This window comes from Homo sapiens, chromosome 11, assembly GCF_000001405.40.
Source record: "Homo sapiens chromosome 11, GRCh38.p14 Primary Assembly".
In the NCBI taxonomy this organism is placed as follows: Eukaryota; Metazoa; Chordata; class Mammalia; order Primates; family Hominidae; genus Homo; species Homo sapiens.
The window spans coordinates 128,424,458-128,437,975 of record NC_000011.10 but is presented as its reverse complement, the minus strand read 5'-3'; the positions used below and the strand labels follow the sequence as shown (position 1 = coordinate 128,437,975).

Here is a 13,518-nt window from a genome sequence, read left to right as displayed (position 1 = left end):
TAGTTAGCTATTTTGCAAGTCCTGCTATATGCAAAACAATATGCTAAACACTTTACATGTTTATCTTAAGGTAATAGTACCCATCTTCTAGGGCTGCTGTGAGGATTAAAATAGATGTATGTGAAGCACAAAATCCAACCCCTGAGACAAAATGAATATGAAGTAAGGCTTAAGCATTAATTAATGATATTAATATGTTTCTACTATTAAGATGGTTTGTTTGACAAGAGTCACATTAATATCCAAATCGATCATTTTATCAAAATTACATGCAATACTATGGTATTTATCTTTACATATGCAACTGTGTGTCTGAAACTGTTTCTTAAGGCTAAAACTCTTAGGAATGGAATTACTGTTGAGACTCATTTAGTTGCAAGTAATAGGAAGCATCTTGAGCTCTCCTTGGGAAAAAAAAAAAATTTCTAGATTCAGAGGTGAGTGATGGGCCTCTGTGATTGTCAGGAAGGCAGCTGGAACTGTGCAGGTTCCAGAGCCAGGAACTGAAAAACTGTCAGAACTTCCTCTCCATCTCTTGTTTCTCCTGTCTGTGCATCTGTGGCATTCTTCTCTCTCTTGGTAGGCAAGTTTCCACTGTTTTTCTTGTTCCACATGATAGGAAGCATGACCTTGCAGCAATTCCAGAATTTATGCATCATCGGTCCAGCTACATAACAAGAGGCCAAATCTCTCTCTTTCTCTGTTACAATTTAAAAATCCAGAGGACGGGGCTCAGTGCTTACTCCTGCCTATGTAGCTGTGGCTGTGGGGAAAGACACCCATCACTGGGGGCTTCTCTTGAGGGTGGGCAGACAGGGTCCAGAACAGAGTGCCTGGCAAGCAACTCTGTTTCCACTCTACTGGGTCAAAGTCCATGCACATAATACTTTTTTTTTCTTTTCTTTTCTTTTCTTTTTTCTTTTCTTTCTTTCTTTCTTTCTTTCTTTCTTTCTTTCTTTCTTTCTTTCTTCTTTCTTTCTCTTTCTTTCTTTCTTTCTTTCTTTCTTTCTTTCTTTCTTTCTTTCTTTCTTTCTTTCTTTCTTCTTTCTTTCTTCTTTTTTTTTTTTTTGAGACAGACTCTCCCTCTGTTGCCCAGGCTGGAGTGCAGTGGCATGATCTCGGCTCACTGCAACCTCCACCTCCTGGGTTCAAGTGATTCTCCTGCTTCAGCCTCTGGAGTAGCTGGGATTACAGGCGCCCACCACCACATCCAGTTAATTTTTTTTTTTGTATTTTTAGTAGAGACGGGGTTTCACCATCTTGGCCAAGCTGGTCTTGAACTCCTGACTTTATGATCCACTCACCTCGGCCTCCCAAAGTACTGGGATTACAGGCATGAGCCACACTTTTAATGTATATTCCCAGATTTCTCTCCAAAATGATTTATCTTTATATTTCTACTAATGGTATATGTGAGCAGCTGTTTCTAAATAAAAATAACATCTCTCCAGTCTGTTCTATAACATCTCTCCAGTCTGTTCTATAACATCTCTCCAGTCTGCTCTATTACATTCAAGTCTTTCAACTGTAATCATCAATGAAGGTAAATAATATATTAGAGAGGGAGAATCTAATGTTATGTCTTTTTCCTAAGGCAAAACATCTCTTCTACATCTTAAACTCCTGCCTAAACTCCTTTCTTAACATCTCCTTCCCTTTTGCCCCTACTTTTGGGCAGCCTCAAAGGAGCTAGGCTCATCCCTCAGCCCCAGCCACTCTCCCAAGAGGTTTACCAGCTCTCATAATTTCATTTAGCACTTTTGTAATAATGATCTTCAAAATCTAACTGCTCTTCTCTTATGTCATTAATAACACATTCTTTTAATATTTATGGTCAGAAACTGAGACATCGACTTCGACTTCTCCTTTTCCCTCCTTGGCTATATCCAATCTCTTACCAAGATTTTTTGGTCATATACATAGGTGTCTTTGTTTCTTTTTTTTTCTTTATTTTTATTTTTTTGAAATGGAGTCTTGCTCTGTCGCCCAGGCTGGAGTGCAGTGGTGCGATCTTGGCTCACTGCAAGCTCTGCCTCCCGGGTTCACAGCATTCTCCTGCCTCAGCCTCCCGAGTAGCTGGGACTACAGGTGCCCGCCACCACGCCCGGCTAAGTTTTTGTATTTTTAGTAGAGATGGGGTTTCACCGTGTTAGCCAGGATGGTCTCCATCTCCTGACCTCGTGATCTGCCCGCCTCGGTCTCCCAAAGTGCTGGGATTACAGGCGTGAGCCACCGTGCCCGGCCGGGTGTCTTTGTTTCTTTTTTGCCTGCCACCTCTCTCTGTAATTCAGTCTACAGGCAAGCAACAAATGTTAGATCCTCAGATCCCAAGTTTAGATTTTACATTTGAGTCATATTCGATAACTGACTCTTTTAGCCCCAATTCCAAATTCTCTGAGTGGGTCATGTACCTATTTCTAGATCAGTTAGGTATGGCCAAGGGTGAGGGTCACATAGCAGAAATATGAATGGCTGTTGGTCCCTATAGGTGGGATGTGTTGTTTCCAAAACAGAGGGTCTGAGAGGAAAACTCCATAGGAGGCCATTAGCTGAATCATTGAAACATCAGAGAAAGAAATTCAAATGTTATCAGTTACCAGAATTTGGGAAATATTCAGTATCTTTTTGATGAGCTTTCAGTTCAAATATAGATTTCCTGAGTAAATAAAGCTTAATTTTATGCTGGAAATTTTTATATAATTATTTGATGAAAAAATAATAAAAATGATAACAATATTTTTAAAAAATAACAAGATAATTTTTTTTGAAAGTGAAAATAATACAAATGGAAAAGGATACATCATTCTATCTTCCTGTCTTTGGTTTAGACAGAAAATCACACCACCAGCGACCAGCAGCCTTTGCAGACCCACATTTTCTTCACATGGACACGTAGCTTGTGACTCGTCTGCTGCAAAGGTTTATGGCCTTCACCTCCCTGTTGTTTCATGCTGCTGGAGGGACATTAGCACTCTGGGTGTTCCCAGTTGTGAAAGGATCTTAATATGAGTTGAATTAGGATCAGGAATGGTAAGCAGACAGGTCTAGAAGAGGCTTCCCCACAGTTTAAAATATTACTCTTACTACATTAACAACCAAAATTAAGCTCAAAGAAAACAATGAAACTCAAGGAGACAGTCACTCTTTTGACTTTTACATTTTCAGGCATCCCTATTAAGTATTCCAAGGTAAAGAAGTACATCAAGCTTTTCCTGCCTCATCTCTCATATTCTATACTTTTTTCATGCAGAATTTTTTCACCCAGGGTTTGCTGTACAATTTCATGCCTCTGGGCTTAAGCAACTATTGTTGCCTTTGTCTTTTCTGTGTAGCAAGAGTCGATTTCTTCTGTGTACTAAGGGTCATGTGGCAAGAGTCTACTGCTTCCCCAACATCTGGATCAAATACCTCTTCTTCTACGCAGGCTTTCGTCAAATCTTTCCTCCTCTTCCACTTCTACTGGTACAGCAGTTCCTTTCTATGTGAACCCATCACACTTTGACTCCTCACTCTTTAGTATTTAACAAATAGGTTGAACACGTACTTTGTGTCAAGTATAAGTAGTTGACTTGTATAGGATGAAAATATTAGATGAAAAAGCATTATTCTCGCCTACAAATAGCTTTTAGTTTCATCAAGAGACACAAAAATGAAAATACTATATAACATGTTGGCACTTTTCTTCTTTACTCCTGGTGTTTCCTTTAATGTGGAAGGAGCTCCATTAGTGTGACACTCCCAGCTTTTCTCTGCTCCTTGCTTGCTCCCCTCCCAGGAATACTATGTTTAATGGGTGGGTTTTGAAAGAAGAAATTAGTCCTGCCCGTGAGGGATTTATATTTGTTTTTGTTAGGCCATGCCATAATTCTCATACTGGTATAGGCCCCCGAGTGGGGAAAGGTGACCTGTTCATCTGAGCCTGCATTTGGGAGTGTAAGTTAGCCTAATCTGGAAATATCATTAGGAAGCTCCCTTGTCCAATTGCCCTTAGGTGTAAACTCATCGCTGTTACATCAGCTTCATCAGTAATAAGGGTCATATTTTGGTATCCTGTCTCATATGCTGTTTTTTGTTTTTATTTTTATTTCTTAATTTTTGCAGAGCTTGGGTAGAAAAGGAGAGTGCTATTAATATGTTCTGCTCCTTCCAACCCTCCCCATCATTCATGTAGACAGGTGCAGAGCACAAGGAACTTGAGAAAGGGGGACCCAAAGGAATCACAGACGTTGTCACAGACGAAGCAATGTGAAAATTCTTAGGGAAAAAGTCGGAGTGTTTGGTGGACAGGACAGAGACACTGTTCCTGTTATGGGAGACAACGTGTCCACAGCAGGAGCACAGTGGTTTCACGGAAGAATACATCCACTGGGTGGAGGCACTGAGGGTGTCCAGAGCTGGGACTGGATAGGAAAATAAGAATCGATTCACAAAGGGATCTGTCACATTAAGGAATTCCGTTACTTTTCAATAGCCAATGGGGGACCACAAAAGAATCTTAAATTGAGGAATGCTATGAGAAAATTTGGGCGTCAAAAATATGATGTGAACAGCAGTGAGAACCTGACTCAGCGGGGGTGAGAGAGAGCTGGGGGCTAGAGATGGGTTGTGCACCAGTCCATGTGGGAGCTGACAAGGGACCCGAGCAAGCAGTGACAACAGGAGAGGAGCAAAAGGAAGGGGCTCAGGAGATCTTGGAGAGGTAGAGGCTGGGATACAGTGACTAAATGTGGGAGATAGGGGAGCTGGGAAGGCCCATGCTTGCTCCTAGATTTTAGGATTGGGCATCTACAAGTGGAAAGGAGGGGGTGTCTCTAATCTTTAATCTTACCATCTAAGATGTTGCATCATAATTCATTGATAATTCAATCACACTTGGTCATGACCTCTTCAAAAAGAGTAATGATGGCTTTCAATTGAGTATCCACATGGCCTAGCATATTGCCTGATATATTGTGGGCTCAAAATACTTCTTTCATTTTTCATGTTTTCTGAAAAACACATATAGTACTTACTATGTGCCAGATACTATTCTAAGTTCTTTACAAGTATTATTTCACATGCTCTTTGTAACAATCCTATGGGATAAGCATTCATATCCTCCCTTTGCAAATTAGGAAACTGAGGCACAGAGCTGAAGTACTTTGCTTGAGGTGATACCAAAATAAGTGGCAGAGCTGGGTGTCAAGCTCATGCAGCCTAGCTTTGGGGATGTTGCTCTCAACCCTTGTGTTACACTGAATAAATATACAACTCTCTTGAAGCCTGCTAGGTTAATACCTCCAAAGTGACTTCTATCCATTTTCAATTGATTAACATCTTTACAACTCAGCTGAGCTTTCCTTTGACCCTCCAGTGCCTCCTTGAGCCAAGGCTGGGTTTGCTGCCCCTCCTGTGGGTTTTCAGGGTCCAGTCCTTGCCTCTGTCAGGGGGCAGACGCTTGCACCTGCTTATTCATTCCGGCTGGTGAGCACCCTGAGGGCAGGAGATTGTCTAACATGTGTCTATGGTCAGAGCACCTAGCATTCATTTATTTTGGCTAAAACCAGAAACAAATCACCCAACAAAGTTGATGCCCATGTGGCAGGACCAGGAAGACCCTTGAAAAGTGACACTTGAGAGAGCTGGTGGTGGGGGAAGGAGATGAATTGCAGGTATAGTGAGAAACTGCTCATTAGGGCCCGAGCCTTCTCATCTCATGAAGAAAGGGAGTAGAGGTGGAGAATTCCCTTCCAGTGAAGCCTCCAAACATCTGTTTCTCATCTTACTATCCATTTATGATTTTCTTCCTCTTCCTACCTCTGCCTCTTGGGGTTGGCTGCAGCTGGAAAGCCCATGTGGAAGTAAAATTCTCGGTAAATCACCAGGAAGCCTCCAGGGCTTTCAGGCTCATTTTTCACTGCAAACGGCCAAATCCAGCAGAGGCTGGTGAAGGTTGGTGAAGAAAGCCTGGCCTGGAGCACTTCTGAGTCTGGTTTCTGCTCTGCACAATGAGTGGAGAGTGAGGGCATGAGAGTATGTGCACAGGTGTTGGCCCCCACGCTTCCTTACTGCTCTTGGCAGGAGTCAGGGGTCCAAGCCTCTAAATGGCCAAGCCTGACAGATCTTCGAGGGATCTCCTGCTGTATTCCACTGAGGACAAGCTGTTGTGCTTCCATGATAAAGTCTCCGTAAATGCCATATCTGCCTCGGGGCTCTGCGCTTGCCACCCACAGACTTCACAGGAAAGGAAACAGGGGCTGGGAGAGGATGCCTAAATGACTTGGCTGTAGTGGGAGCTGCACCAGGCAGAGGAGGCTGTGAGATCCTAAGAACCAGGTAATAGGAAATGTCATCTACTAGACAGCTTCTGCAGCACAGATGGTAAAACTTCACTTCTGTATACCAATATTGCCTTTTAAGTTTAAGCTGCTTTCTATTTAATTAAGCTACATTCACATTTGGTTGGAGAGTCAGGTTATGGCACAAAGTTCCACAGGCAGCGAAAATTGCAATGAACCTGTTATGACAATCAAGTTCTAGGATGAGCTCCCTGATAGATGCCGCAACTCTGTGTACATCATTTAGCCTCCAAGTCTGGTTTCATCAGACTTTATAATTCAAGTGATGCTGTATTAGGATAATAGATTTTGCTTTGAGATTCTCCAGGGATGATGGTAGTAATAACTTTCTGTTATGAATGTGATCATTCTTGAGGGAGGTTTTTACTGGAACTTCAGGCATTGGTAGTTCTTTCTGGAGGTCTTGGACTCATCTGGGAGGGGCCTTTATGGTATCGTGCTGGGCTTTGGATATTATCTGTAATTTCTTCTCTTTCTTAGCCCATTAAAGTCCTCTAGTGACAGTAGAATAAATTCTCAGTCCAAGGGTCTTTCCATTAATGAATTTGCTCAATTTCATGGACTAAATTTGAGACTCACATGATATAAAAAATGATTTCCTTGCTACATCCAAGTGTGAGAAACATCCTGGAAAATATAGTTTCCAGAAAACATTGAGGGTTTATGAAAATAACAAATGAGATGATTTGAATTGAGGCTCTACTTGACAACCGAGCACTTGAGGTTCCCATATACAAGTGCCTTCCCTGTTTGTCTTTTAGAATTCCCTGGAAGAACTTCGTGCTTGCACATCTGCTCCCAAATTTCCATTTGACACTGAGTATAAGTGTTTCCACACTACTACAGTGGGGGAATGATAATATTCTGGTGGAATTCACACTAAGAGGAAAATGGCTAATATTGGAGCCTGAGGGAAGTTGGGAGCCCACTTGTGTGTCTGAACTGAACTGAATAGATAACATTGCCCCCGCTACAGACAAAGGTGGAAAGCCCATTAAAAAACACCGCATGTTCTCACTCACATGAGAATTGAACAATGAGAATGCTTGGGTACAGAGTGGGGAACATCACACACCGGGGCCTGTCGTGGGGTGTGGGGCGGGGGGAGGGATAGCATTAGGAGATATACCTAATGTAAATGATGAGTTAATGGGTGCAGCACACCAACATGGCACATGTATACATATGTAACCAACCTGCACGTTGTGCACATGTACCCTAAAACTTAAAGTACAATAATAATAATAAAAGGAGACTTGAGAATCTCCCTGCTGCTTTGTTTGATGAAAGCTTTGTTGTTGGGACAATTCACCATACCTAGCTCTAACTTTTCTTAGAACGAGTTGTGCCAGAGACACCACAGGGCTAAGAGAAATAGACATTTTTTTGATTTTGTTTTTTGTATACTTTCAACCGCGAATTTGAGAGAAATGCACAAACATGTTGAATCTGGCAGTATTATCCAGTATACCGAATAATAGTAACAACAACAACATCTAACATTTGTAGAGCCCTTGCTATGTGTCAGGCATAGTGTTGTTCACTCTGCATAAATTATATCATTTCATTGTCACAACAATGTTAAGAGCAATGTACTCTCAATATGCCTATTTTGCTTATGAGAAAACTGAGGCAAGTATGGGGAGTGATTAAACAACGTGTCCAAATTCACGTAACTAAGTGGCTGAGTTTGTTCTTAACAGGACTGGTTGGTTGACTGCAGAGTCTATAATCTGTGTTGTCTGCTGCTTCTCTGGAAACTGAGAGTTCTGCAATGTAAGGCAACTTTTAGCTCACAGCTTTCTCAGAGTATCACCTAACATATCTTTACTTCCATAACTAGCGAATAAGACTGATGTTTAGAGTTTCAAGCAAGCAGGTACCCAGGAGTTGGATGTTTAGGACTTTTCTTCTTCCATCTTCCCAGGAATAACTGCTGGCAATATATGTAGTTCTGGTACTCTTGTTAATTCCATTTCAGTGGCTGGATGTAGGTGGAAATGGGAAAGGGAACTTGGTTATTATTACTACTGAAAATGGGTAAAGGCATAGTAATACTCCTGGGAATGTCAAGATATGACTTTCTCTGAGTAAACCCAAAGGCAGAGGGAGGAGATGATAAGCGATTCCGTGGCTTTAACTTTCCCTCTCACTTAGAAATATGTGACAGAAAGAATGAGAAAACAAGGCATGACAGAAAACAGTGACAAAATGGTCCCTGCCAACCAACAGGGATGTCTTAGGATCAAACAGCTCAGCCAGAGGGGAACTGGATCCTTCATGGTACCTTGAGAGCCCAGTGGGGCCGCTCATAGTCAGCTATCCCTGTGCAGGGCCTGCCATTCTCCTTATTTGGACTGTGCTTATTAACAAATCCTGTGCTTTGGAGGAGGGATGTCCCATTCCCTCAACCCACACATGGGCTTTAGATCTGTGGTTTCCTCTCTTCCTTTGTCCCCAATGCTGTGTAAGTCCAAGTGGATGGGGAAAGCTCTGTTGACATTTTGGAGGGAGGAGAAGGAAACGAGTGGGTGAGTAGGCTCCAAAGCCTCTTTCTGCAGCTGTGACCTTTAGGCAAGCTTTTCTTTCTCAGGGCTCAGAGCTCACAGTGGGCTCTCTGGGAGCATGTCTGATTTGCATATCTTTTCCACCTCCTTAAACTGAATGAGGCCCGGGGAGGAGGAATCTTCAGAAGATGAAGCAGCTGAAGTGGAGGGAATCTGTGTCAGCCAAGATGACACCAGTCAGGAACTCAAGCTTGAAGATGACCAGGCTCTCCCACCACAGCCTGCTACGGGGCTGGAATCCCCATTTCCCATCATTCTCCAGGGGGCTCCTAAAGAGGTGGGCATATTTTTTTCCTGGTTTGAAACATGATGTGAATTGAAGGCAGAGAATATGGATGGTTCAAAGAGCTCCAGTCTGGTCTGGTCACTTGGAGGCCTGGTTTCCAGTCCAGCATACTGCCATGTCTCCCCTAGCTCCATCTACCAAGCAAAAATCATAATGCTGGCCATTTCATAGGCTAGTGTAATATCATGAATCATGATCTCACTTGATTCAAAATGTCCTGTAAATGGTAAGGAATTATTCTCATGTAAGAGGTGACTATTATTACTAAAACAAAGTTGTAAAGACTTGGAACCAACCCAAATGCCCATCAATGATAGACTGGATAAAGAAAATGTGCACATACACACTGTGGAATATTATGCAGCCATAAAAAAGAATGAGTTCATATTATTTGCAGGGACATGGATGAAGCTGGAAACCATCATCCTCAGCAAACTAACATAGGAACAGAAAACCAAACACTGCACATTATCACTCATAAGTGGGAGTTGAACGATGAGAACACATGGACACAGGGAGGGGAACATCACACACCAGGCCTGTCGGGGGGTGAGGGGAAAGGGGAGCAAGAGCATTAGGCCAAATATCTAATGCACGTGGGGCTTCAAACCTAGAGGATGGGTTAATAGGTGCAGCAAACCACCATGATACATGTATACCTGTGTAACAAACCTGCACGTACGGCACATGTATCCCAGAACTTAAAAAAAAAAAAGCAAACAAACAAAAAACCATAGTAGTATGTTTTTAAATAATAATATACGTTAATTGTTATTACTTAATAACATAAGCAGCTAATATTTACTAGATACCACATTAAATACTTTAATAAAACATATATATACATATGGTGCCTACTGTGTGCAAGACACTGTTCTAGAAACTGAAAGAAACAAGATTTTTGCTCTCCTGGGACCTACTTACTCCTGGGAGAGACAGACAAAAAAATCACAAAAATAATTAAGATAATTTTAGACATTAATGAATATTGCAGAGCAAATTGGCTGGGTTTGGTGGCTCACACCTGTAATCCCAGCACTTTGGGAGGCCCAGGCAGGTGGATCATTTGAGGTCAGGAGTTTGAGACCAGCCTGGCCAACATAGTAAAACCCTGGCTCTACTAAAAATACAAAAAATTATCTCGGTGTGATGGTGGGTGCCTGTAATCCCAGCTACTCGAGAGGCTGAGGCAGGAGAATTGCTTGAACTGGGGAAGTGGAGCTTGCAGTGAGGAAATGGAGATCGTGCCACTGCACGCCAACCTGGACAAGAGAGCGAGACTCTGTCTCAAATAATAAGCACTTATTTAATAAATGGTGCTGGGAAAACTGGCTAGCCATATGTAGAAAGATGAAACTGGATCCCTTCCTTACACCTGATACAAACATTAATTCAAGATGGATTAAAGACTTAAATGTTAGACCTAAAACCATAAAAACCCTAGAAGAAAACCTAGGCAATACCATTCAGGACATAGGCACGGGCAAGGACTTCATGACTAATACAAAAAGCAATGATGACAAAAGCCAAAATAGACAAATGGGATCTAATTAAACTAAAGCACTTCTGCACAGCAAAAGAAACTACCATCAGAGTGAACAGGCAATCTACAGAATGGGAGAAAATTTTGCAGTCTACTCATCTGACAAAGGGCTAATATCCAGAATCTACAATGAACTCAAACAAATTTACAAGAAAAAAACGAACAACCCCATCAAAAAGTGGGCGAAGGATATGAACAGATGCTTCTCAAAAGAAGACATTTATGCAGCCAACAGACACAAGAAAAAATGCTCACCATCACTGGTCATCAGAGAAATGCAAATCAAAACCACAATGAGATACCATCTCATGCCAGTTAGAATGGCGATCATTAAAAAGTCAGGAAACAACAGACGCTTGAGAGGATGTAGAGAAATAGGAACGCTTTTATGCTGTTGGTGGGAGTGTAAATTATTTCAACCATTGTGGAAGACAGTGTGGCAATTCCTCAAGGATCTAGAACTAGAAATACCATTTGACCCAGTGATCCCAAAGATCATAAATCATGCTACTATAAAGACACATGCACATGTATGTTTATTGCAGCACTGTTCACAATAGCAAAGACTTGGAACCAACCCAAATGTCCATCAATGATAGACGGAATTAAGAAAATGTGGCACATATACACCATAGAATACTATGCAGCCATAAAAAATGATGAGTTCATGTCCTTTGCAGGGACATGGATGAAGCTGGAAACCATCAATCTCAGCAAACTATCACAAGGACAGAAAACCAAACACCGCATGTTCTCACTCACAGGTAGGAACTCAACAATGAGAACGCTTGGACACAGGGTGGGGAACATCACACACTGGGGCCTGTCGTGGGGTGGTGAGCTGGGGGAGGGATAGCATTAGGAGAAATACCTAATGTAAATGACGAGTTCATGGGTGCAGCAAACCAATATGGCACATGTATACATATGTAAGAAACCTGCATGTTGTGCACATGTACCCTAGAACTTAAAGTATAATAAAAAAGAAAGAAAGGAAAAAAGAATACTACACAGAAAATGGGCTAGAGAGTCCCGGGGTGGGGAACACAGCAGCTTTAGATTCATGGTTCCCTGCTGAGGAGGTGACTTGTGCTGAGACAGAAGACTTGACAATAGGGGGTGGGGGTCTCCCTGAGAAGAGAAGAGCAGGCTGACACTCCTGCACAGAGCACACTGGAAGGCAGAGAGAGGGCCTGGCAGGGTGGGTGGTCAGAGCAGATCCACCAGTGGACCAGGGCATGAGTTGAGTTTTTGTTTTTGTTTGTTTGTTTGTTTGTTTTTGAGACGGAGTCTTGCTCTGTCGCCCAGGCTGGAGTGCAATGGCGTGATCTCAGTTCACTGCAACCTCTGCCTCCTGAGTTCAAGCGATTCTCCTGCCTCAGCCTCCTGAGTAGCTGAGACTACAGGCGTGCGCCACCACTCCTGGCTAATTTTTTGTATTTTTAGTAGAGACAGAGTTTCACCATGTTAGCTAGGATGGCCTTGATCTCCTGACCTTGTGATCTGCCCGCCCTGGCCTTTCAAAGTGCTGGGATTACAGGCATGAGCCACCCCGCCCAGCCATGAGTTGAGTTTTATGGGCCGCCAGCGGGTGTGGCTTGTGGACCATGGTTAGGATCTTATTCCTGGTGGTGGGAAACTGTTGGAGGGTTTCAATGGGGCAGCAACATGATCAGATTCATTTTTTGGCAAGAGTGAACACAGAAAGATCTGTTAGGAGGATTCCACCTACATGATCTCAATGGATGATCATAACCCTGCAAGGGCTGACGTGTCTTACATTGGGACACTGAGGCTTTAGGGATCCCGAGTGGCTTTTGTAAAGCCACACTGCTGTTGAGTCGTGGAACCCAGATTAGAACCCAGGTGGCTAGGGTTCCAGAACCTGCTTTCATAACCTTCAGCATAGCGTTTCTCCCATCAAAAGCTTGTGTAAGCCACTGCCAGCATTGCTGTTAATTGTGGCTCACCAAGGCTTGGAGAGAGCTGGATGAGAGGGGAGCAGAGTCCAGCGTGGGTGGGGCTGGACTGGCAGTGGCAGAGGAGAGGCAGCTGCTGTTCACATCAGGGTCTGGATGGCCTTGTCGCCGCAGGAGGCTGCGCTGCTCCACCCTCCCAAGCGTTTCCCAGCTCCGTCACAGGGTCTCCGTTCCCACCACAGTGTGTCCCAGCAGTTCCATTTGTATTTGTACCCAGAGAGCTCCACTGAGGCCTGTGGTCACAGAGTGACTCCCTTCCATGTTCTGCCACAGGTTGCAAGCCATAGGGTGAAGGTCACACAGTTTTGTTTGGCCATAACAGCTGCCTCCATGGCAACAGCGTGTGATATCACTGGAAAAGCCATTTGTGGGACTCCAAGCTGGAAGGAAAAGGCAGAGTTGGAGAGAGCTGTAGCGGGAGACAGAGAAAGGGCAGGGTCTCTCCGGATGCTCCAAGGTGCTGGACGCACAGGTCCCTTTCTGTAGTCCTTGTCATGTAAGATCTTTTCATTTAGGCTAAGCAAATCCAGATGTTCTTCAAATAATTCAGGCATATTTGGCCCAAGCATAAACTTGTCTTCATTTTTCATCCAATCTGACAAACGTTTGCAATCGCCTCACTCTGTGAGTTCCAGGACACCTTCGGGCTGGAAGGGGTTAATGAGAACAAGCCCTCCCTGGTGGCTTCCCTTCCCCCTGGTGCTGCCCCTCGGCCCCTCCCAGGCCAGCAGGATTTGCTGTCCAAAGGCCCTCAAAAGACATCCAAGCAGTCTTTTCTTAGAAACAGGAAACTGTCTTCGGCCAA

At 43.3% G+C, this 13,518-nt stretch overlaps 1 long non-coding RNA gene across 1 annotated transcript in view, besides 1 other annotated feature; it reads right to left on the bottom strand.

The window, feature by feature from the left end:
• Positions 1 to 13,518, bottom strand: part of LOC124902789 (uncharacterized) — a 40,983-nt gene that overhangs the window by 16,155 nt on the left and 11,310 nt on the right. The gene's annotated exons all lie outside the window — the stretch shown is intronic.
• Positions 12,848 to 13,142: an enhancer, noted in NCBI's record as "tiled region #2302; HepG2 Activating DNase matched - State 5:Enh". NCBI's record gives its function as "activates a minimal TATA promoter and a strong SV40 promoter by Sharpr-MPRA in HepG2 cells {active_cell/tissue: HepG2}" and the evidence as "EXISTENCE:reporter gene assay evidence [ECO:0000049][PMID:27701403]".